The sequence below is a fragment of the Homo sapiens genome, chromosome 1 (genome assembly GCF_000001405.40).
Source record: "Homo sapiens chromosome 1, GRCh38.p14 Primary Assembly".
Lineage (NCBI taxonomy): Eukaryota > Metazoa > Chordata > Mammalia > Primates > Hominidae > Homo > Homo sapiens.
Window position 1 is genome coordinate 167041711 of NC_000001.11, and position 24513 is coordinate 167066223.

Consider the following 24513-nt stretch of genomic DNA (forward strand, 5'->3'; position numbering starts at 1 on the left):
ATTCAAAGATATTCCTCCCTCTCCTCTTCTATACAGCTATTTAAAAATAGTTTTTATTCCCTTGTTGGTTTTTATAATGTAAGCAAATGCACACCTACAGAGATAGGTAGATAGGTTCTACTCTTTCTTTTATATGTAAATGGTAGCTTACTACACATATTTTTCTTTACTTTGCTTTTTTCATTTAACAATATACCCTAGAGATCACTTACTGTATAGAGATAATCCCCATTTTACACTGCACTGTATCATTATGTGGCCGAAGAATTGTTTATTTAACTATTGTGCTGTCGATTCTGATTGATGCCAGTCTTTTGTTATTACAAATAATGCTGTAACAGTACTTTATACATACATCTTTTATCATATTTTTGCTACTGTGGCTTTGGGATAGTGTTCTAAAATCTAGATTTCTGAAAGATAAATTTCAGTATGATTGCCGAGTCAAATGGTAGATGCACATATAATTTTGCTAAATTTCCCCCTATTCCCCTCCATCATCATGATGCCATCTTTTATTCCTACCAGCAATGTAGAAGAGTGTTTGTTTCACCCTAGCCTCACCAATAAAGTATGTGGTCCAAATTTTGGATTTTTGCCAATCTTACTGGTGGGAAATTGTATCTTAGTGTAGTTTCAATTTACACTTATAAGTGAATGATGTTGAGCATCTTTTCCCAGGGTTAAGTGTAATTCTCACTTCTTTTCCTGTGCATTGTCTGTTTGTGTCTCTGATGAGACTTTTCCTCATGCTTCAAGTTATTATATTTTTGTTAACTAACACAGCCTTAAATTCTAGCAAGATCTGACTATGCCAAAGAGACCTCAGGTCCTATGGAAACTCAATTGGAGGGTGGGGTATGGGGACCATGGAGTATCACAGACATGTACTTAGCACATGGACAAAAACAAAGATTTTCAAATATTAATTAGAGTCTTGAATTTTAAGAAATATTGGATTTCTTGGATATTTAAGTTTATTTTATTAATTCATTAATTCAAGTAATATTTGTTGAACACACGCTATGTCCAAGCACTGTTTTAGGCACTGGAGTTACAAGAGTGAACATCTTTTCCTTCCTCAGAAAGTAATGGAAAAAGAAATGATGTTATTCTCCTGATTCAGGCTGAAAGACCATCTCTAAAAGAATAGACTATTCTTTCATATGATTTTCCCCATATTCCCATTTGCCATATTCAGAAATTGCAGGTCAACCCCACTGATAAGTCAAAAGCAGAGGTAAAAATATTGGTTTCTTCCATACAGATGACTGTTGGCGCTAGAAGAGGATCTTGAACCTCTTCCTGACTGATTCTTTTATCAATAAGAGGGAAAAAAAACTCCAGAGACCTTGCCACTGTTCAAAGTCACACAAAGCCGGAGCACCTGGTTTTTAGGTCTTCCTCAATTATTTCCATGGTATCAAACTTGTAGAGAAGCTAAGGGAGCAGAAATAACACAAATGCAACCCTGCTTTTTGGTCCTGTCGGGTCTGGAGAACAACCCTTATTAATGGGACCTTGGGCGATATTTGATGGTGGCATTGTTTCTCTGCTCCGCTTAACTGTTCCCCGGCCAAGCCACAGAGCTCTCCTCTGTCATGGAACAGGTTCAAAGGGACTGCAGGATGTTTTTAGTTTCATAAAAAAGACAATGAAAGCCAGTTAGAGAAAAGACAGAACAAGAAGATGAAAGTAACATGCTGGGAGAGGAGGAAGGCTGCCCTGAGCTGATAAACCATATAGATTGTTCCTGAAGGGAGAGACTAAGGCTCATGGTATGAATTGTACTTAAGCAACTAACATCTTTATTTAAGGGTTCTCTCAATCTCTTTCTGGGGAAAAAAAAAAAATCTATAAGACAGCCCAGAACTAACATAGTTAGACCTGAGTTTGGGCTCTATCTTTGTCACTAACCAGCTGCATGTTCCTTAACAAGTCACTTTAATATCCCGAGCGTTGGTTTCCTCATCTGTAAACTAAGATGAATAATGCCTGGCTGATAATGTGGCTGTGAAGATTAAAATGGGTCATGCCTTTGAATATGCTTTATAAAATTCAGTTCTTCTTTCATTTCCTCAGCCGATTGCTCATGTTCCTCTAATACACTGTCCCCACCCTGGACAACCTCTAGCAGGTATATGCACACCTGAAGATACTGAGACAGGGAGACTGACTAGTTGAGATTCACTGAGGCTGATGTGTCTAGAAAGTTGCTCACTAAGTATTCCCGCAGGGTGTTTGAAGCCTCTTCCTGGATGCCTGGTGAGACGAGACACTTTGAATCCACCTTGCAAAGCTCCTGCTCCAAGACAGCTGCAGCTTGTGCTCTGTAGAGCGATATGAAATAATTGCCCGTTGGCACAATAAGCCCATCTCCTCTCCGGGCAGCACAAAAGAAAGCTCAAAAGCATCTCCGGTTTTGATTGCCAAGTGGGGGAGGCAGTGAAAGTACACTAAATTATGAGTCCAGGTGCCTCTCTACAGAAATCCACTTCCGCCTCGCTGCCGCTCTGAAGGCGCGCAGTGGGTGTTGACGTCACCTTCGGCCACAGGAGCTTGGAGAGGCTGGGGCCCTGACTCCCCGCGGGATCCGCTGGTAGACCAGGGCGTGCTCTCAGACTGGAAGTGCAGGAAGGCTCGCTTACTCTCGCCATAGACCAGACTGACAGGGGTCTGCCAAGGCTGCTGGGAATGTGGGAAGTGAACTTTAGGTGGAAACAGAAAAGCTTCTCTCTCCGTGGGTAGCCTTTTTTTTTTTTTTTTAGTTCAGGAGAGAAAAAAAAAATCATAGAAGCCTGCCAAGCCAAATAAACTATGCTCAATTAAGTCTTTCAACTGTGCAATTCCTCTTGTTGATTTTATGAGGAAAAGGGCAGAATAGAAACATGATGGGCTTGTTTAAAATACTTCAAAAGGGAAGAACCTATATTCTCCTGCTTCCCAGACCGACCTCTTTCGGGCTTTCCTTTCCTCCAGCCATGCTGCAGGCCTTTCACTGTCATCTCCTCCATCTGTGATAAAGCTGTCCACAGAACCCGTCCTCAGCTGCTTTCTCACCACACACCCTCACTCAGGGCATGTCCTCCATGTCATGCCCCTCATCCAGGCCTGTGACTCCCAAGGAGCTGAATCAGCCAAAACTCTCCCTCCCCAACCCCAACTCCAGGCGCTTATACCTCACTCCCCACAGCTGTTTTTATTATTCGTATTCACTGCTACTCAATCCCATCTTGTTTTCAAGAGGACTTAAGGTGGATTCCACAAATACATAAAAGATGAGAACTAAATAAAGTCAAAATCACTGTGAAGATAAAATGAGGGCAAAAAAGGAGAGAGAGCGAGATGAAATCATGGACAAAGTTAGTTCACCAACTCCATTTAGAAAAATCCTGAACAGTTCCTTGACATATATAAGTTTGACTCTGAACTTCCTAGCAATCATTGCAATGAGGAAAGCACAAGTTGTATATAATTCATGGTGTCCTTAACACAATGTGTCTATAGCAGACTTGCTTATATGTAGCAAAAACTTATGACCTAATGGGAATAGAAAAAAAAAAAGAAGAAACCGGGTGCAGTGGCTCACGCCTGTAATCCCAGCACTTTGGGAGGCCAAGGCAGGTGGATCACCTGAGGTCAGGAGTTCGAGACCAGCCTGGCCAACATGGCGAAACCCCGTCTCTACTGAAAATACAAAAATTAGCCGGGCTTGGTGGCAGATGCCTGTAATCCCAGCTACTTGGGAGGCTGAGGCAGGAGAATTTCTTGAACCCAGGAGGTGGAGGTTTCAGTGAGCCAAGATCGTGGAAAAAAAACCCAAAAAACTGAGCAGCAAAAACTTTCCTAGTAAGCAGACCTGAGAGAAAATTATCTGGTGGATTTTCATCAACAAGTAATTTACAATGTAGTGAGCAGTGTCCTCAACAATACTCTAATGATAAATACAAAAATGAGAGACCTAATATTGCTTCTAACAATTTCCTACAATGATGACCAGTGGAATAATGCTAAAGTAGTTATGTAAAAGAATTCCAGAGGGACTCAAGGTGATTCCAACCGAAGATGCAGATCCGATGGCTTGGCTTGAGACAAGGAAAAAGTAAAGAATATTCTATACTTTGTACAACTCTCTGTAAGTACTATTTCTTTTATTGGAAGTTTTGAAATGTATCGATCAGCAGTAAGTCCAAACTTATAATCTCTTGAAATTTCTGGGGTGCAAATATTCTTAGTCGGATTTAAGTGCAAATATTCTTAAATTTAAGCCAGCCTAGAAGGGTGGAGTGGGGTTAGGGTGACATGTTTTTATGTAGGTTGAAATGCTTAATTTAGACACTTGCCCATGCAGAGGCCACTTCCCTGGTTTTGCATAAAGTTGGCTTGAAGGGCTACCAATGAGCAGAAAACAAGGTTTGTTCCAAACCAGGAATATATAAGCAGATGAGGCCAGGTCTCTATGCCCCAGAACAATGCTGCAACAGAAAGGAGAATGGGGAGGAGGAAGACTCATAGGAGAGATGCTAAAGGGATAATGTCTTCAAAACTGGCCACTAGTTGACTTTAAAAAAAAGTGGCATCTAGGAGGACTCTCAGGTTGGGAAAAACTTTCATTCAGGGGCTCTTTTCTTGTCATTGTATTGCTCTGAGCAAATCATTCCCTGTCCAGTTACTGCTGGTAAAGAGAAAAGGGGCTGCTGCAGCCCAACACTACAGGAATCAGCTGCAAGCTTCAAAGAGGGTGCCTCGCCAGAGAAAATAACAAGAGAGGGACTCCCCCGAGCCCACACTTGAGGCCGAGTGACTGCAATCAGGAGCGAAGGCTTCTGAAGAGGAGCAATGCCTGAAGCTGAGGTATAAGCAGTCTCCCAGGGTCAGGGTCTCCCTGAGGTGGAGAAGCCTGTAGGCTGTCCACCCTGAGGGCCTGGGCAAGTGCTTGTGGTCCCTACACCTCATTCCCTTGGTCACCTGCTTGTAGTTCAGCTATAATGGACAGGTCCACTCATGATGCCTCTGCACCTACTCAAGTGCATGCTACGCTTTTCTTTATTCCCTCAGGAGATTTCTACCAACCTATGGGGGGCAGCTGGGAAGTGTGGGGGAGGTAACAGCCCCAGAAACAGCCCTTAGCCAGTAGATCCCTATGGGATGGAAGTGGTAGATAAATGCCCCAGCTGTTCCTCCCTTCAGTGCTACAATCCTGAGGCATATTCTACAGTTTCTCAGAGGGCCCCTAGTAGAATGAGCCTTAGTTGCCCAGGAAGCAGAAGTTATGGAACAAGAAAAGTGGGACAGAAAAAAAGTCAACAAAATCTGTGTTATGGAGTGGGCTATTGCTATGGGATCATCTCCTAAGTAAGACAGGTATCATGATCTCAGGCTCTGCTTTCACAGAAACCTAGACTAAGCCAGCCTCTATCCCAGAATTAGTGAACTATAAGATTGGGTCAAGGAACACTCCCCAAAAGGCATTAGGAAGGAATACAGTAATGGAAAATATAAAAGAAGAGTTAAGAGATCTGGCTGCTAGAAGTAGATTTGTCACTATTCAAATAATAAAAAGGAGGAGTTCCAGGAGCAGACAAGAAAATTTTTGTAATAGTTCAAGTTAGTTTGTCTCTGTTGAACTTTATTGAGTAGATAGATATCAACTGCCTTCTCACTATCTCTTATCTTCAATTTCTCCTACCTTAAAGCTAAGGAAGTAGAGGGGAGACAAGTTCAATGGGTCAGGCATGTTGCCCTTGATTCATTTCCCTTGGCATCTGGTGATCAAAGCTGCTCAGACCTCAGTTTGAGTTGGTCATCTCTCTGCTCTACAGCTAAGACACCATGGCTATTGGCCTTCATCTACCTCAACTCATTGGCTTATCTTCCCAGACATTTGAATTGCAGCTTCTAATCATTGGGGGGAATGACTTTCCAAGACAGTGAGGGTGAAAATCTGGATGTGCACTCTCCTCATGAAGGGAAGAGGAGCAACTGTGGAGCTGTGTTGTTCCTGGCAAGGCCAGAGGGGACAATCTTTGCTGTCTAGGATCAGAAGGAGCTTTAGGCCCTGCCATACCAATGAGGGTCAGAAATGCCAAAATGAGTCTAGAAATTACAGCCTTCACTTTGGTGGCTCCTTAGACTAGCCCAACATCACTTTCCTCTCTCCTTCTTTCTCTTCCTCCCAATACATATTGTTCCTCTGTAACTCTGGGTGAACATCCCATCCCACAAAAATGGCAATGACTTTAGGAGTAATGCTGAGACCCAAGTGGAGGATTTTCCCATAATTTTTCTTTTTTTCTTTCTTTACTTTTTGTTGGGCAAGACAGGGAGGGCAGGTTTTGCTGCGAGAGATCAGAGACCTGCTTTCACAGGCTTTCTGTATGAGCTACAGCAGCTACCTTTCAGCCAGACAGATCTTCTCTAGCCTCTCAGTGGAACCTGTGTGAGATTAATATATCAAGTCCCATTTTCCTGAGAGAAAAACTGAAACATAACTAATAATTAGTTAAGTGTATACTCCCTACATATATATGTCATAGATACTTTTAAATGTATTATTACTAATCCAATATAAAATTTAATTGGAATGTTTTAAAATATTTTATTAACTCAAAATAGGGAGGGAAAAGGGAATTGTAACTGCAAAAACTCAAAACAAAACATAGAACAACAAACAGGAAAATGGTAGACTTTCAAAACCATATCAATAATTACATATAAATGACTTAAACCATTCAATTTAAAAGGCAGAGATTGTCAGAATGGATTTTAAAAAGAAGATCCCCTTTAAATATCATAACAGAGATAAGTTGAATGTAAAATAATGAAAAAAATACCATAAAGACAATAGGCATAAAAACGTTGTCATATTAATTTACCAGAGATCAATAGGAATATTTCTCTATTGACAAAAGCCAATTCAGTAGGAAGACATGGCTACTTTAAATGTGTGTGCCTAATAACAGAACTTCAAAATAAATTAATCAAAACTGATAGAAATTTAAGAACCAATATCATTTATAATAGTATCAAAAATATAAAACACTTTTAAATTTAACAAAATACTTGCAAAACCTTTATGGCTAAAGCTAAAAATTACCTCTGAGAGAAATTAAAGAGACCTAATTAATAGAAAAGATATGTCATTTTCATAAATTTGAAGACTCTATATTAAGATGTCAATTTTCCCCAACTTGATCTATTAATTAAATGCAATCCCAATCAAAATCATAAGCATATATTTTATAAATGTAAAAGTTGATTCTTAAATTTATGTAGAAAAGCAAAGGATCTAGACTCGCCAAAACAATCTTAAATAATCAAGAGGACTCTACAATGAAAAATGATGATATCATGAACCTACACTCACCAAGACAGTGCAATATTGGCAAAAAGATAGACAAGTGGATCAATGGATAGTTTTTTAATTGTGATGAGTAGGTCTCTGTAGAAATGAGTGCCCACATTAAGAGTGACTGACTGTGATGCTTGGTGCTAACAGATTTAGCACCAAGATTTAACATCACTTGTGTTTTTGCAAGGGTTGTTAATGTTTTGAAAGTGATCTGGTTGCAAAGGCCCATTGGTTTTCAAAGTTCCATTGGTTTTATGTGTTCTTCCTCTAATCCTAACTTTCCTGTATGTCCTATTAGTTTTAGTGTGTGATTTTGAAGAATGCAAGGTTTTTCAGAAATGCATATATATTGTTATACCTGAGATGCCTGTATTATAAGTAACAACTGCCATATACAAATTTTACAAATTTAAAACAAAAAACCTTAACTCTGTCTCCACTCCCACATGTCCTCCATTCCATCATCCTGTTCATACACGGAATCAAGAGAAAATGTTTTCAAGTAGAAAGAGCAACATCTTCAGAATCAGACAGAATTGAGTCTAATCTTCATTCCATCACCTACTAGCAATGCTACCTCCAATGAGTTTCTGCTTCTGAGCCTCAGTTTCCTCATCTGTAAAATGGAGAGGGTATGTGGAACTTAGGAAGAGGCAACTGTGGCAGAAGCCAATAGCTGTTTTTTTTCTTCCTGAGCACATATAATAAGGTCACAAGTTTGCATTTCCTTGCCTTCCCTGCACAATGTGTGGCCTTGTGACTAGTGCTTGCCAATGGGCCAACGGCATGTGGGCACAATCAGGGTGGTCACTTCGGGATCAAGTCTGAGGAAGCATTTGCACCTTTGCTCTGCTCTCCTTCCTCTCTGCTGGCTGGTTTCAGACAGTTTCCAGGCCCTTGAAGATAGAAGTCCCACTAATGTAAATAGTTGGAGATGAACAGAAGAGTGGGCCCCTGAGTCTTTCTCAACTGTGTGAGAAAGAAACTTCTATTGTATTTGAGTCATTATAGCTTTTTAGTCCACTTTTATAGCAGTTTAGCTCATCTTAATTGAAACAAAAAATTTACTCAACAACATGGAAATCAGGGAAATGAGACTACCTCTTAGAGATAAACTTTAAAATCCTAGATCCGAGCAGAAATATTCAGTATCCCCTCAAGAGGAAAGACCAGTTCCCAGACCTAACAGTTATTTGGAGCTGGAGGAAAGTTTTAGCAAATAAAAAGGCAGTGTATGCATGAGAAAAAATGTTGTAGGAAGGGATGACACGGTGAGCTGAGGAAGTGCAGACAAATGGCCGTCACAGACAGAAACCAGGCTGAGTCTTTCTGGAAACCTACCTGAGGAGAGGCAGTCTCGGTGAGCAAACTCAATAGCCAAGCGTCCCCAAAGAGGCCCTCCCCATCGGACCAGACTTAACAATAGGATCACTTCTGCAGATGCCCCGGGCCCCAAGCCAGAATATCCAGGGATGGAGCCAAGACCAGAGAATCTTCCAGAATTTCCACAGGGGATATGACACCTACTGATACAGACTGCCATCAAAGATGAGAGCTCCTTGATAGTAGCCGACTTCTCTTATTCTGATTCCATGCCCAGTAAGCAACTGAGGGCATAGTGCCCATGGGGTGAGATGGCCTGGGTCAGGTGGACAGAAAGGCTGGTCTACTTGACAGCTATAAATAGCAAATTGACATTCTGTGTTGATCCAAATTGCTTAAATTCACTGTGTCTCAGCTTCCTCATCTGTAAAATGGGAAGAATAATAGCACTTATCTCATAGGGTGAAGATTATGAGATGTTCTATGGAAAAGGCCTAGAACAGTACCTGGCCCAGAGCAAGTGCTGCTGCTATAAGCATTGTACATCAGGCACTGTGAGCTTGGTTAATGTGACTCTGCATTTGAGAGCTGAGGCCCTGTCACTGTGTCACAAAAGCAGCTTAAGAACAAGACTTTTTGGGAGGGAGAGCATTAGGACAAATATGTAATGCATGTGGGGCTTAAAACCTAGATGACGGGTAGATAGGTGCACCATGGCACATGTATACATATGTAACAAACCTGCACGTCCTGCACGTGTATCCCAGAACTTAAAGTAAAATTAAAAATAAATAAATAAATAAATAACAAGATCCTGAAGAGTGGCTAATTTACCAAGCTGTGTATCAGTTCATGGATTCCTCTCTGGGCAGCCAGAGTCCCTCCTTAGGTGATAACATGAACACCTAACATTGGCATATGCCCAAGTATTTGAAACTGCGAGTGGGGATTATATGGAAAACTGTCTGAAGTGCCTAATAAGGGTTTATAGTACACAATCTTCCCTCAATTAATGGGTAGCATTTGTCTCTCTTCTAAAACACCATAAAGTCTTTGAACCAGCAGCTGGAAACCATAATTTGGGAAGGGATGCCTAACATTCTAAGGAGACTGCATTGCTGGGCTAATTTTGATTGTATAAGAACCTACAACAGTCCAATTCCCAGAGTCTGTGGACCGAAATAAATTCAGCAGGAAACTGTAGTCTTACTGAGTGATAATATGATTTGACACCCAAGTAATAGAAACATGCATTGGAGGACAGAAGAAATGTCAGCACCAGCCCTTTTCCACTTGTAAAACTCCTCATTCTTCTTCAAGATGCAGCCCAAATGCAACCTCCTCTCTGAAGCTTTCCTGAACTCCCTTAGGCTGAGTTACTCAGGCCCTCCTGTGTCCTGTAGCCCCTTCTCTTGCTCATGTAATTATGTTTCTATGTCTGTGACCGCCATTAGATTTTAGCTCCTCCTGAATAACAGTTTCTTAGTGACTTTTATATACTCTGCAAACAGCACACTGCTTGGCACGTAGTAGATGCTCACAAAATATTTGTTGTTGAATTAATGCAGTGGGTCTCGATTTCCCTCCTTTTCTTCCCTAAGCCTGGAGCTAAGGCAGGTGAACCTTCAGAGTCCTTTGAGGGGCAGAGAGAAGTCAAGTCAAACCTGGGGGAAGGTGGCCGCCTCTGCTTCCGTGGCTCCCTCAAGAACATGCTTGTGGAACCTTGCACCGTGAGGACTGGAAGGCACCTCAGAGTATCTAGAGAGCTAGGAGATGTCCTTGGGCAAGATACTGTGATACCAAATGTTATTCATTTAACAAACCTTTGTCAAGGGTCAACACATGCCAGGCCATAAAGAAGCTACAGTTCCTATCCTTACAAATCATACAGGGTGAGGCAGAGACAGACCTGTACACAGGTATAATAGGCACACAGTACTGTGTGACAAGTGCTCGGACAGGAGGGAGCACAGGAAAGGACACTGAAGAACAGACCTTGAATATCTCGCAGGAGAGTCCATGTCAAAGCCAAGAGCCCACAGCGGAGCGAAGTTGCCTTGGAGGAGGAAGCGTCACAGTTCTCTGTGACAGAACAAGAGGACTGCCCCGCCCCTTTCTCAGAAGGGGCATCATAGGAAGCAGAACTGGCTAGAGCATCTCCACCATCTTCCTTCAAGCACGTGGACCGACACCCAGGCCTCCTGGTGTCCTGACACTGCAGACTCCTGGAATATACCTCCACCAGCAGGCAGGAATCTGTCCTATTCCCAGCAACCACTAGAGGCACTGCCTGACCCTACTGCGGCCACAAGCAGAGGGACCCCAGGATTCTCAAATCTGTTACCTTGTCTCACCTCCCCTAGGAAGCAGAAGAGTGCTATGGTGAGTAGAGATGATCCATGAGACCCAAGCTTTATCTTACTGCAAACAAAATCCACATTAAAAAAGAAATAAGAATTTCCACCCACAATTTTATTATTACTGAAAGCATTTGGAATGAAGCAAAGGATTTAACAATATATATAAAAATATACATTTTTTAAAAAATCGCAAGTAGACAATAGATTTATGGAATTATTTTTCTGATCATCCAGAAAAGATAGCAATAGTAAACTGCAGTTGGGTGAGACCAGCCACTGGTCCATGAGACCTAAGCAGCCCTAACGCTGCCTGAGCTCTCAAGAGTAGAAGAAATGCTCGACAAACAGAAGGAGGCTGTGGGAGGGCAGCAGGACAGCCCCACCAGAAAACCAGAGCCCAAATGGGCTGGGCAGGGCCAGGGCTGAGGTATCGGGATGCAGGAACAACCAGGAACCCCATGTGGGTTGAGGAGACATGCCAATTATTCTGGCCTGGAGAGGAATTACCAGGACACAAGAACTCAGACCATCTGCAAGCAAGCTCCCTTGTGTGTGTTCACTTTAAATCAATTCGTGTTTAACTCACTGAATGAATACGTGGGTTTGGGTGGGAATCATCCCTGTGTCTACGATCATCTCAAGGAGACCAGAGAAGGGAAGGCACAACCAATCAAAGCAGTTTCCCCAATTAAGCTTAAGTGCCCACTAGGATGGGCGCCAGCTACTAGGGCTTCAGGGAAAGCAAAAGCCATGAGGCCCAGGCCCTGCCCCAAGGAGCTGGCGCTCTAATACAGTGAGAGCACTCGCTCAGAAGACTGTGCCTTGTGGCCCATGATTGGACGTGGGACAGAGTAACAGGATTGTTTCCACGTATGTGGACAATTAGGATAGGGTTAGAGAAATCCTTGTGATTTGAGATGGGCCTGGAGGGACAGGTACGATATTGACAGGCAGAGATGGAAAGTGTGTGGGCAAAAGCTCCCCAGGGCCTGTGCAGCAGGAGTGGGAGGTGGCCTTCCCAGGAGGGTTTGGAACATACTGGCAGCTACGGGAAGTGAGGTTGGAAAGGGAGTGGGAGCTGGAGGCCAGGCCAATGCAGGGCCCAAGCATACTCACTTATTCTTTCATTCATTCAAGAAAGATGTGTGGAGTGCAAACCCTCCACCTGGTGCCCCTCCAGGTGCTGGGCACACAGGTGAGCAGGACAGCCCCCACCCCCCAAGGCTGGCATCGCCTCCCTGGAGAGTTCTGAGTGGGAGCGCCCCATGCTCAGCGCTGTGCTTCCAGGAGCTCCTGCCAACTACGAGGGAAGTGGAGGCTGCAGCCTGGTCTTGAGTGAGGGCCAGGCCCGCACCAGGTGTCACAGCCAGGAGGGGTTACTTCACAGGACAGTGAGGTCAGCAGGATCAGCACAGGGACCCCCTTACCAGGCCAGCCATGTTCCCCACAGCTGACACTGGGGAAGAAATGTCCCCATCAATGTCTGGGATGGAGGGACAGGAGAACAGGGCTTAGAAAGGAGAAGGGAGGCCAGGAAGCGGGAGAATGAACCCCTAACCCTTCCTCCGCCGCCCTCTGCTGCTGGCCTGTCACTGGTCGAGGTGGTCCGGGGATTCACGCCCAGTGCTCCTCTGCTCTTCTTGCCTGTAGTCATCCTCCTCCTCCCTCTCTCTGGAAAGTTCTCTTAGCTGCTCTGGTGGCTCCTCATAGGCTTCCCGGTTCCTGCAGGGCAGCAGGGGACAGAGGGGAAGGATTTGCTCTCAGGTGGACCCTCAAGGGAGCTGGGCCTCATGTGCATTACAGGAAGAGCAGCCTCCAGACCTCCTCCCCACCCACCAGCTGCAGAGGACACTGGGCTGAAAGGCTGGGCTGAGAGTAAAGGTGCCACAGACTTGTTCCACGCATGAGCTGAGGGGGTTACAGGAACAGGCTGGCTTTACCAGCCCAGGAGGAACTGGCCCCGTGACAGGGGCTCCAGGCCACACTTGGCTCTAGTCATGCCACAGGAAGCCCGGCCCTGAGCTCCCAGACTGGAAAACCACAGGACTGGGAGGCAGGTCCTGGGGCTGCAATGCACATTTTATGGCTTGGACAGGTCATTGTTTCATCAGCACAAAATGGGGGTGATATACCCCAAGGGGTGCTGCAAGTAGAAGAGGCTGTGAGGAATTGGGAAGCATATTTCCAGTCTCCCCAGACCCTTCCAACAGGCTACCAGCCCAGACACTCACGGCCTTGCATCCTCCTTGTCTTCAGTGTTGTCGTCCTTCCCTCGGCAGCAGCAGCAGTAGATGATGATGCCAATGATAATGAGGGCTGCAACCACGCCCACCGCGATGCCCACATACAGGGCCACGTTCATGGAGGCTGCAAGAGGACAGAGCAGCTGCACTTGCCGAGCTTCTAAGCTAGCTCCGGGTCTCCTCCCAGCCAGGGGAGCAGCAGCTACCAGCTTCTGGTAACACTCCATGAAAGGCATGGTCTTGGAGGAATGTGACCAGCCATGGCCCAGGAATATTCTTCAGGATGGAGGTGCAGACAGAGACATATGGTCCACTTCACATCTTAACACTTTCCGGGCTACCCTGGCTCTGCAAAAGTCCTCAGATGTCAGCCCAGCCAGCTCTTTAAGCTAGATTTGGTGTCTCACCCCAGAAGGATGTGGTCCAGACTCTGCGGCAGCTGCCCTGGGCACTTCCTCCACGCCCACCGAGTGGTTCCTAGGCAGGTGGGACTGACAAAGCCTCTGAGTCCTAGAAGTCAGTCCTAGGTTCCACTTCCAAACACCAGTGGAACTGGACTGGCCTCAGAGTGAGGGGAGCCTGGGACAGAGTCATCCTGCCTAGGTCACCACAGCTAACCTGCAGGTGCGTGGCCCTAGAGAGGTTCCCCTATTCCTCCTCACGGTGGTCTCAGCTGACTTTCTGGACCCCCACCAGTTATCCTGTGGCGTTTGTCAGCCCTCCCCCCGCAGGCTGCTCTTACGAGATCTGACGGCCACCGTGATGTTGCAGAACTGCGTCCCCTCCTCATTGCTGGAGGTACAGATGTAGTAACCCGATGTGTCTGTGGAGATATTCTTCAGGGAGACAGGCTGACCTGAGGCTGCAGGGGAAGAAGAGTCAGGGTGAAGAGAGGCACTACAGTGGAGTGGAGACAGCCAGGAATGGGAGGTCTGGACTCCTTGGGAAGCACAACCTCTGCCACTGAGCTTCTTCAGGCCGGAGCCCCATGTCCACCTCCAGGGCTGCAGGACGCTTAAACCAGGCAGGGCCCACAATGTGAAGTGCTCAGAATTCAGTCAGGCACCCTGGGTTTGACACCTGGCTCTGCCACTTATTAATTTGTCTTTAGCAAGTAACTCAGCTTCATTCAACCTCCATTTCCTCATCTAAAATCAGAAATAATAGTACCTGCCTCACAGGGTACTTGCAAGCATAAAATGAGGTACTAATAATAAATATAAGCCCACAACAGAATGCCTGATATGTAGTAAGTGCTCAGGAAACATAATGCACATTATGTATTACATGAAAATGCTTTCTAATCAGAAGATATTATTACTTTTATGATCTTCAGAAACCAAATCTCTTAGCTTAGACTCATATGAAAGAAGCCTTTGGAAATCAAAAACTCTGATCTCTGGATTTCTGCCATGAGAGAGGTGTGTGGGGTGTATGTGTGTGTGTGTGTCTGTGTGTTATGTGGTGTGTGTGGTGTGTCAGTGTGTGTGGTGTGTCAGTGTGTGTGGTGTGTGGTGTGTCAGTGATGTGCAGCGTGTGTGTGCTGTGCTCTGTGAGAGTAGTGTGTGTATGGTATGTGGTGTGTGTGGCATATGTGTGGTATGTGTGTATGTGGTGTGTGTAGTGTGTGTGGTGAGTGTGTGATGTGTGTGGTGTGTGTAGTGTGTGTGGTACGGTGAGTGTGTGATGTGTCTGGTGTGTGGTGGGTGTGTGGTGTGTGTAGTGTGTGTGTAGTGTGTGATGTATGTGGTGTGTGTGGTGTGTGTATGGCGTGTGTGTGGTGTGTGTGGCATGTGTAGTGTGGTGCGTGTGGTGTGGTGTGTATGTGGCAGCGTTTGTAGTGTGTGTGGTGAGTGTGTAATGTGTGTGGTGTGTGTGTGGTGTGTGGTGTGTGTGGTGTGTGTAGTGTGTGTGCTGCATGTGGTGTGTGTGGTGTGTACTGTGTGTGGTGTGTGTGGCGTGTGTAGTATGTGTGGTGTGCAGTGTGTGATGTGTGGTGTGTGGTGGGTGTAATGTGTGTGGTGTGTGATGTGTGGTGTGTGTTGCATGTGTAGTGTGTGTGGTATGGGGGGTGGTGAATGTGTGTGCTGTTGGGGTGGGACGGAGGCAGACTGTCTAGACTCTTCCTCTACATCTGCCGCCACTTGAGCAAGCCATTTAACTTCTTTGAGCTGTAGGCTTCCTTCGGAAAGCAGGAGTGAAAACACCTGATCCTCCTGAATCGAAGAGAACGGACCAGAATATCTCATGGAAGACCTTTCCCCTCAATCTATCATCCTATGAATTTCTTCATCTTGAAAGCAAGAGCTTTGTGCTTGGGCATATGTATATGTCCTGCCATCCAAGATGCTTTGTTATAACTGCTATTTTGAGAGGAGCTGGAGACCTACCTCCTCTAATTTTGCTGCAGAGCCAGCCTTGCCTGATCCCTGCTGCCACCAGGTGGTTACACGCCATCCCTAAGAGACGCTCTAAATTGTAAATACGATCCTGTCACTGCTCTGTTCAGACATTTCAGGGGCTGCCCAGCAACCACTAGACGTAATCCTCAGTAACAAGTCCAAGCTTCAGGTCACAGATCTGGCCCTGTCAATCATACCAGCTTTGCCTCTTGCCACTTGGTGCTAGGGGCAAAACCAGGGGAGTTGTCCTCTCTCCGCCCCACCGTCACTTTCCTGCAAGATTGCATCTCAAGATTTTCCTTCTCCGGATGTGCTGCTCAGTACACATCCTCAAATGTGATGTCCTTTCATCCTTCCAGCAATCCTCAATATTTCAATCTCCAATTCATGGAGTTAACTGGAGGCTTAAAGAAGTTAAGTGAACTGCTCAAGGTCACAAAATTAAGAAATTATAAAACAGGAACAAAAATCCTGTTTCAGGTCTAGAACTCCCTGGAGCCATTGATAATTTTCTTTTAAAAATTTGTGGCCGGGTACATTGGCTCACGCCTGTAATCCCAGCACCTTGGGAGGCCAAGGCGGGCAGATCACTTGAGGTCAGGAGTTCGAGACCAGCCTGACTAACACAGTGAAACCCCGTCTCTACTACAAATATAAAAATTAGCCGGGCATGGTGGTGTGCGCCTCTAGTCCCAGGTACTTGGGAGGCTGAGGCAAAAGAATCGCTTGAACCTGGGTGGTGGAGGTTACAGTGAGCTGAGATCGCACCACTGCACTCCAGCCTGAGTAACAAAGCGAGATTCCATCTCGAAAAAAATATGTATAAAAATAAAATTTTGTATGATAAAAGCAATGTATGCTCCTTATAATAATTTATAAATGATATAAAACTATTATTTCAATTCAATTCAATACAGAAAATCTTTAGCTGCTGATCACAGCTATAAACGAGATGAGGAGGGTCCCTGTCCTCTTGGTGTTTCCAGTCTCCCAAAGAAGACAGACATGAAACAATGATGGTTACAGTTCAAGATGGAGGTACTATCTGAGCTTATGGCAAGGGGTTTTAATCTCATCCAAAGGGCCAAGGAATGCCTCTTTAAAGAAGAGAGAACAAATAAAAATCATTCATAATTCCATCACCTATAAATAACACTTTGATTTGGTGCTATTTTCTTTCAGTCTTTTCACTTGTACTTTCTTCAAATTCTTCCCTTGACCCCCAGGACACTACTCTCTGGATGCTCATTCTTCATAAAATGTGTCCCCTTCTATCCTAGAATTCCACGCCTCAGTATGTTTTCTGGAACATTGTTTACATGTGATATTAACATGCGGCATGGAGAAGGAGTCCCTAAAAAAGCAAGTTTAGGAATCACTGAGTTAGGATTAAGTAATCTTTCTAAGGGCAGCACTTTCAGAGCTCCTACAATGCTGTTGAGCACTGGGAACTTCTGACAGCGGGGTGTGGTATTCATGCTCTCATTTGCTAAATGAATCGGATTTGTTATTTTTAAGAGGCATCTTGAAGGAACACACTTTAGGAAATGCTCTATGGCCCTGGGCATACTTAGGAGGTCTAGAGCTCATAACAGATCCCCACCACTTAAGAGTGTGAAGCTCGGACTCTGGATTTAGTGTAGGCAGCACACTGCAGACAGTCAGGACTTTTTTAGTTGTCAGAGTCCAGCTTTGAGCTCTAGGCCTTGTTTAGGGTGGGGAACATGGGGTTTCCTAGTCCAATGAGTCAGCGCTATCCTCCCCCAGTTCCCTGATGCAAACCGTGTGCACTGGAAGCTGCTGGGATGAACCAGTGCAGGTCTTGTGCCACAGGACCTTCTTTGATTCCGAGTTGGGGCTCCCAAGCCCCTTTTCCTTCGGAAAGGGACTAGTAATTTCTGATATCCGGAGAAAACTAATGTTTCCGCTGCAGTGGCGACACCTTGTGGTCAGAAAGGGGAATGCACAGGACGGTCATACGCTTCCCACCTTCCTCTGCTCCAGCTGTGGAGAGATTCCCCTCAAGAGAACCTCCTGTCTCACCAAGACGCTAATGTCACGTTGACAAGACCTAACGTTTCCGCATCCCCCCAACCCCTACCCAATCCTGTAGCTTGTCGACAAGCCCCTGCTGCCACCTCTCTCTCACAAAGGGCCCTCACGATCCTCCTTGGACTGGTCCCCACCCTTCACAACCGCCTCCCCTTAAGTGCTCCAGGCCCCAGAACTACCCCCTCCCCCACTTCCTTGATATCCAAATTCCTGTTTCTTCAGTGCATGAAACTCAGCTTCCTGGGACACAGCTTACAAAGTCTGTTCAGAGCTATTACACATGGGATCTCCTCTCATCCTCTTCACAGCTTTTGGGGAATCCCAGTTTTTTTCAAAGGGCAGTACTAAGGGTCCGAGAGGCTGTGAGTGACTCACAGCTCCAAAGTGGAGAAGTCAGGACTTCTTGTTTCCTGATTCTGGATTCCCTGTTCTTTTCACTGCTAGCTTGTTTCCACTGAGGGTTTAGTCAAAGGAATGAATCTCTAATGTTGGAAATTGTCTTCAGATGTAGGAGAGCAGAGGTACCCTCCTCTCCAAATCGTCCATGGTGGACTGAAATGTTTTAAAAGCCAGAAATAATTTGGGCTGACCCACAGAGGAAGAAGAATTAGCAGATTCTCTCTATTTATTTTTTGTTTGTTTGTTTTGTGTTTTTAAGATAAGATCTGGCTCTAGTGCCCAGGCTGCAGTGGCACCATCTTGGCTCACTGCAACCTCTGCCTTCCAGGCCCAAGGATCTTCCCACCTCAGCCTCCCAAGTAGCTGGGACTACAGGCACACACCACCATGCCAGGCTAATTTTTGTATTTTTGGTAGAGACAGGGTTTCACCATGTTGCCCAGGTGGGTCTCGAACTCCTGTACTCAAGCGATCCACCCGCCTCAGCTTCTCAAAGTGCTGGGATTACAGGCATGAGCCACACTGCACCTGGCCAGAATTGGCAGATTCTCCAAGGCTCTGCAAAGCAGAGTGGAAACGAAGGCTTTGAGAACTCTGCCCTCACCCCGCAATGTCTCCAGATGCCAGGGCATGTTGTTATGGACATTAACCATATTCTTTTCTGTCACCTGCAGGTCCCCATTCTGACTCAGCAAATCTTAACTAGAGACAGGATAAAGCTTTCACAAATTAAAGCTTTCACAAATTAAAGAAGCAATTCTCTTTTCACCTCCTTTCCTGTCCTCAGGATTCTCCCTTTTGGATAATGAAAGAACTAAGTTTTGGCTTCTAACAACCAGAAGAGTCTCCCTGTGGAGGCAGGAGAGAACTGCAGCTGGGCTGCCCCTTTGTGAGGCTCCTCAGAAGGTACCCGTGGCTTACAGGGCAAAGACGAACCTCCCTAGCGTAACGCACAGGCTCTTCATGATTTCTCATCACTGTGTTTCTTAACAAGAGTATCTCCCACCATTCCTACACCTACACACGCACCCTACCCCTTAGCCACACCAGACAGTCATGATTCCTTCCTGTTCTCCATGCCAAGCCTCCTCATCCTTGAGGACCCAACTCAAATAACAGCTAATAACACTTAGCATTAAATGAGTGCTTACTGCCTACCAGGCACTAGTCTCAATGCTTCACATCTACTTTTATTTAATCTTCACAACCCTATGAAGTAAACACTAGCATTGTACCCATTTCATAGACATAGAACCTAAGGCACAAAGAAGCTGAGTCACTTGCCAAGGTCATACAGCTAACAAGTGTCCGAGCCAGGAGTCAAGCCCATGGCATGCTCTTAACCACTGTCGACTCCAATACCCACTCCTTGGAGAAACCTTCTTTGATCTTCTTATGCATCTTCTGTGTTACATCACCACTGGGTATAAAGCTATTATAGCATCTGCCACCTGTAACCTTCAGCTTTGGGTCTCCATATACACACTTTGCAGGAAAGAAGATCAGACACTACCAGTGTCCACAGCACACCTACCATGACCATGGCTGGAGTCACTAGACTATTCATAGGCCAGAGAGAGGAGGCCACAGAGCCCCCGGGGAGCTGCCAGGTGGTTTCAACAAAAATTCCAGACACACTCGATAAAAAGTTGCCAACCAGAAATACGTAAACACAACTGGAAGCTTGTTGAAAACCTACATTACATTGACCTATTTTAAGTTAGGTCGAGTGGATTCTACTAACTGTTTTTTTTTTTTTTTTTTTTTTTTTTTGAGACGGAGTCTCGCTCTGTTGCCCAGGCTGCAGGCTGGAGTGCGGTGGCGCGATCTCGGCTCACTGCAAGCTCCGCCTCCCAGGTTCACGCCATTCTCCTACCTCAGCCTCCGGAGTAGCTGGGACTACAGGCGTCCGCCACCACGTCCGGCTAATTTTTTGTATTTTTAGTAGAGACGGGGTTTCACCGTGTTAGCCAGGATGGTCTCGATCTCCTGACCTCGTGATCCGCCTGCCTCAGCCTCCCAAAGTGTCTACTAACTTTTTTAAGAAGTCGATTTGCCCCCAAACGAGTGATAAAGCTCTTCCTGGATTGAGTGCACCCCCAATGTGTGCATCCGTCCGGCTGGGCTTATCCAGGACACCAGATATTCTTCCCCCGGGTCCTCATCCCCACCCCCGGGGCACCTCATCTTCTCAGAAGAGCTGTGTGCCCTGCTGGCTTTGCTTTCCACCTCTGGCCTCCTTTTCCACCTACACTGAACTGAAAGACCTCCCAGAAGCTAAATCGGATGGACACCTTTCAGGCCTTGTCTTTCTTTTTAAAAAATATTTTATTTATTTTATTTTATTTTACTTTATTTTATTTTATTTTACTTTATTTTATTTTATTTTATTTGAGGCAGGGTCTCGCTCTGTCACCAAGGCTGGAGTGCAGTGGTGTGATCATGGCTCACTGCAGCCTCGACCTCCAGAGCTTAAGCAATCCTCCCACCTCAGCCTTCTGAGTAGCTGGGACTAAAGGGTGAGTCCTGCCATGCCCAGCTAATTTTTTAAAAATTTTGTTTGGAGACAGGGGTCTCACAATGTTGCCCAGACTGGTCTTGAACTCCTAGCCTCAAGTGATCCTCCTGCCTCAGCCTCCCAAAGTGCTGGGATTACAGGCATGAGCCACGGCACCCAGCAAGCCTTGTCTTTCTTGATCCTCAGGAGCAGGGGTGGCACTAGGGGCCCTGGGACTCCACCAGGGTATTTCCACACCCATTGGCTCTGGGTGTGGAAAGGATGGTAGGATTTTTATATAGCTCTTTCTTTTTTTTTTTTTTTTTTTTTCAGTTTCCTGACTGAAAGGTCCAATACCAAGCTGCCCAGTACAAAACTGGTCTCCTGGCAACTATAGCTGAATCCACCATCGCCTCCCCTAAGAAGGTGGGACCCTTACAGCAACATGGTGCTGTCGTTGTGTGGAGCCATAAAACGGTGGTGTGTCTGGGGCAGCGGGGGTCCGTGACGGCTGAGAGGGACCGGCCTGGATAAGGAATGGGAAAGTTAAATTCCCCACCTTTGCGTGGAGCCCCCGAGTTAGACTTGGGGTCTCAAATGTATACTTCAGGACACAATCAAATTAAAATCCTACCCATGCTTTTGCACAGAGTGCTTATCAGGGCACGTTCATCCAAGAGAACTGAGGAATGAGGAACAAAGAAAACAAGTTAACATTTACCACGGCTTCCGCTACGCGCTTTACATGAATCATTTTTGTTTCTTGCCAGAACCTATGAGGTAGGTATTATTATAAGAAACCAGTGCTGGCCGGGCGCGATGGCTCACGCCTGTAATCCCAGCACTTTGAGAGGCTGAGGCGGGTGGATCACCTGAGGTCAGGAGTTCAAGACCAGCCTGGCCAACATGGTGAAACCCCGTCTCTACTAAAAATAGTGGTGGGCACCTGTAATCCTAGCTACTTGGGAGGCTGAGGCAGAAGAATCGCTTGAACCTGGGAGGAGGAGGTTGCAGTGAGCTGAGATCGTGCCAACTGCACTCCAGCCTGGGCCACCTGGCGAGACTCTGTCTAAAAACAAGAAACCAGTGCTTAGAGAGGTGGGGATAGGGGGATAGGGATGGGTAGGGAAGCAAGCGGCCTTCAGGGGGATCTGATCGGTCAACCCAAGTTGCAGCCCCTAGCCAATCAGCTGCATGTGTTGCACTTTGACGTGGGGAGCCCGCCTTCCCTACTGCCCCCTTACCTGGCTGGGCCAGGGGCTGCTCCTGATTCAGGATGTTGTACCTCTTCCAGCTGTACTGAGGGGTTGGTGAGCCCTCCTTTGATTGGCAGGTCAGCTGGATGTTGTTCCCAATTATGGTCTCTCCCTCGATGCCGCATTCTGGTTTGGAGGGTGGCACTATATAGAGGAGAGACCAAAGAGAAGGCATGAGGCAGGTGGGGCTTGGTGACAGCCACCCACCCCTCCCCACCCACCCCCCACACACATATACTGCCTTGTTTGTTCACAGGCAGAAAACTCCATAGTTGAGTAGTGAGATGGAATGCTGTAAAACCAATTCACCCCAATATGGCCTCAGTGGTCTGTCACCACCACAAAGGAGCAGTACATATGCTGGGAAGCATTGCGGGCCTGCAGTAGCTTTCCAAGGCATGGCCTCATGTGTGTTCTAGTTTACAGTCATGGGATTTTAAAGATAGCGGAACATGGCCGTTAGAAAGATGGGGTTCGAGATGAGTTTGAGACCAGCCTGGTCAACATGGTGAAACCCCATCTCTACTAAAAATACAAAAAATTAGCCGGCCGTGGTGGCACCCACCTATAATCCCAGTTACTCAGGAGGCTGAAGCAGGAGAATTGCTTGAATCTGGGAGGCGGAGGTTGCAGTGAGCTGAGATCGTGCCATAGCACTCCAGCTTGGGCAACAAGAGCAAAACTCTGTCTCAAAAAAAGAAAGAAAAGAAAAAAAGAAAAAGAAAGAAAGAAAGAAAGAAAGATGGGGACATTGAGGCCCAGAGAGGACACTTGCTCATAGGTACTGGCAGAGCTGGGACTAGATCTCAGCTCTTATAACTCCAGATCCTGTGCACTCTCCACCAGCCCATATGAGCTCCTTCTGCCACTAATTCATTTGTGCCATTTTGGGAAAATCCTCACTTCCCCTCGACCTCAGTGTTCCATTCTGTAAAATTAGTGGACTACAAACCTGTTCTGTAAAGGGCCAGGTGGCAATATTTAGGCTTCGCAGACTACATATTGTCTTTGTTGCTGCTACTTTTTCTCTTTAAATAGTATGTTAGAAATGTAAAAACAGTCTGTGGGCTGGATTTGGTCCTAGTTTGCCTACCCCTGAACTAAGTGATCTCTGAAGCCTTCCACTCTTAACTTCTTAGTAATGTTCTTTCTGGGTTCAGCACCATCCTCCTCCTGTGCTTTGCAGATAACGTGCAGTTGCCATAAGCACGGGATGATGGGCGGAAGCAGTTGCCATAAGCACGGGATGATGGGCGGACCCACAGGCAGCAGTAAAGTTATGTGCAGGGTGAAGGATGAGGACTGAGGGGACTCGAGCAGGCAGAGGGCGCAGAGGTAAGGAGAGGGAAGCCCATAGACTGGAGGTTACCCAGAACGGCAGCCACCCTCATCTCACAACCCCAACCCGATTCCCTGGATTTCTGGGAAGCTTAAGCCTGTGCCTTTCACTCAGCATTGTCAAGATACCATTGTGGAGCTGGGTTCATTCTACAAACCTCACTGGGTGCCTACTGTGTGTCTGACAATGCTGGGCACTTGGAGGACACAGTGGGTGGGTCAAGGAATCTAGTGGGGGCAAAAGACAAGTAGCTGAACAATGACCAGACAGGAGGCAAGGCTGCTGGGGCAGATAAGGCCTAAAACAGCCCCAAACCCAAGATCAGCTGTGACGTGAAGGAAGCATGACAGTAAACAAGGCCAGTGGTGGAGGTGGGAGTGGTGGTCGGAGAAAGAGGTGATGGTACTCCAGGCAGAGTGAACAGCATGTGCAAAGGCTCAGAGGCAAGAAGCAGCATGAAGCATGCTTGAGACTTCAGGTCGTGTCCTTGGAGGTGAGAAGGGGAGGACACACAGTGGAGAGGGTTGCTCCTGGAATCCCTAGGTGGCAAGCCTGTCTCCTCTGCGTCTTTCTTTTCACATCCCCTTGGATGGCTTGCTCGCTCAATAAACAGTGCTGCCCATTCTATAATCCAGGTGCACGGTCGCTGAGCATCAGGAGTGCATTCTGATCTCGGCCCCACCCGGCAGCTGCTGAGAGAAACCCTTCCACACACACCACTCCCCTCTAGCCCAGCAGCCACAGTATTTCCTCTTGGAAAGAGCCAGGCTATTGTTGGGTGTGCCCAACATCTCCTGCTGCCATAGTGAGGGCTGGCCAGGTGTGGGGCGAGCATGAGGGAAATTAGAGGCCCTCCCTGATTGTCACTTTCCCTTGGATGGTTCCTAAACATAAGAGGTCCAAAGTTCAAGGCCGGGCCTCATCTATCCTGCACCAGACCCTGGGACTGGAGCAGTGTGGGGAGGGGGAGTCTGCGGCTTAAGGACCACTCTTACCAGCAGCCAACAAGCAGGTCCCCGGGGAACAAGAGAAGGTGAACACCACTTCCCAGAGGACCCCTAGGATGGGCTTGCTGAGCCAAGCTTTATCTCTTGAGCTTTTCAGAGGTACGGGAGCATCCCTCTCCACGCATCCAAACCATTCAGCCTTTTCCCAGGAATGCCTTGAATCGGAAGCAAAGGCTTTATTCCACAATTGGAGAGCGGGCAAAACACCAATCCCACCTGAGGAGTCCCAGGTGTCCCCAAAGTCACACCAAGTGTGCATGACTGACAGTAGAGCCTTTCTACAA

At 46.3% G+C, this 24513-nt stretch overlaps 1 protein-coding gene and 1 long non-coding RNA gene across 4 annotated transcripts in view, besides 4 other annotated features; one reads left to right on the top strand and one right to left on the bottom strand.

Annotated features, from left to right (window-relative positions):
- Positions 2185 to 2234: an enhancer, noted in NCBI's record as "active region_2031". NCBI's record gives its function as "activates an Ori minimal core promoter by ATAC-STARR-seq in GM12878 lymphoblastoid cells {active_cell/tissue: GM12878}" and the evidence as "EXISTENCE:reporter gene assay evidence [ECO:0000049][PMID:35858748]".
- Positions 2315 to 2464: an enhancer, noted in NCBI's record as "active region_2032". NCBI's record gives its function as "activates an Ori minimal core promoter by ATAC-STARR-seq in GM12878 lymphoblastoid cells {active_cell/tissue: GM12878}" and the evidence as "EXISTENCE:reporter gene assay evidence [ECO:0000049][PMID:35858748]".
- GPA33-AS1 (GPA33 antisense RNA 1) lies at positions 10975 to 23206 on the top strand. The gene is made up of 6 exons (XR_922249.3): positions 10975 to 11056; positions 16597 to 16717; positions 18918 to 19036; positions 20961 to 21053; positions 21278 to 21407; positions 23070 to 23206. It is a non-coding gene; the product is annotated as a GPA33 antisense RNA 1 (long non-coding RNA).
- GPA33 (glycoprotein A33) overlaps positions 11126 to 24513 on the bottom strand; it is a 37542-nt gene continuing 24154 nt past the window's right edge. For all 3 annotated transcript variants that reach the window (NM_005814.3, XM_017000005.2, XM_047424480.1), the window contains 4 exons: positions 21872 to 22027; positions 14020 to 14139; positions 13266 to 13401; positions 11126 to 12756 (listed from right to left, as the gene is read on the bottom strand). In NM_005814.3, the coding sequence (NP_005805.1) occupies positions 12624 to 12756; positions 13266 to 13401; positions 14020 to 14139; positions 21872 to 22027 (545 nt within the window). In that variant the 3' untranslated portion in view covers positions 11126 to 12623. The remainder of the gene's footprint in view (positions 12757 to 13265; positions 13402 to 14019; positions 14140 to 21871; positions 22028 to 24513) is intronic.
- Positions 15498 to 15617: an enhancer, noted in NCBI's record as "active region_2033". NCBI's record gives its function as "activates an Ori minimal core promoter by ATAC-STARR-seq in GM12878 lymphoblastoid cells {active_cell/tissue: GM12878}" and the evidence as "EXISTENCE:reporter gene assay evidence [ECO:0000049][PMID:35858748]".
- Positions 22942 to 23236: a silencer, noted in NCBI's record as "tiled region #13653; HepG2 Repressive non-DNase unmatched - State 21:Repr". NCBI's record gives its function as "represses a minimal TATA promoter and a strong SV40 promoter by Sharpr-MPRA in HepG2 cells {active_cell/tissue: HepG2}" and the evidence as "EXISTENCE:reporter gene assay evidence [ECO:0000049][PMID:27701403]".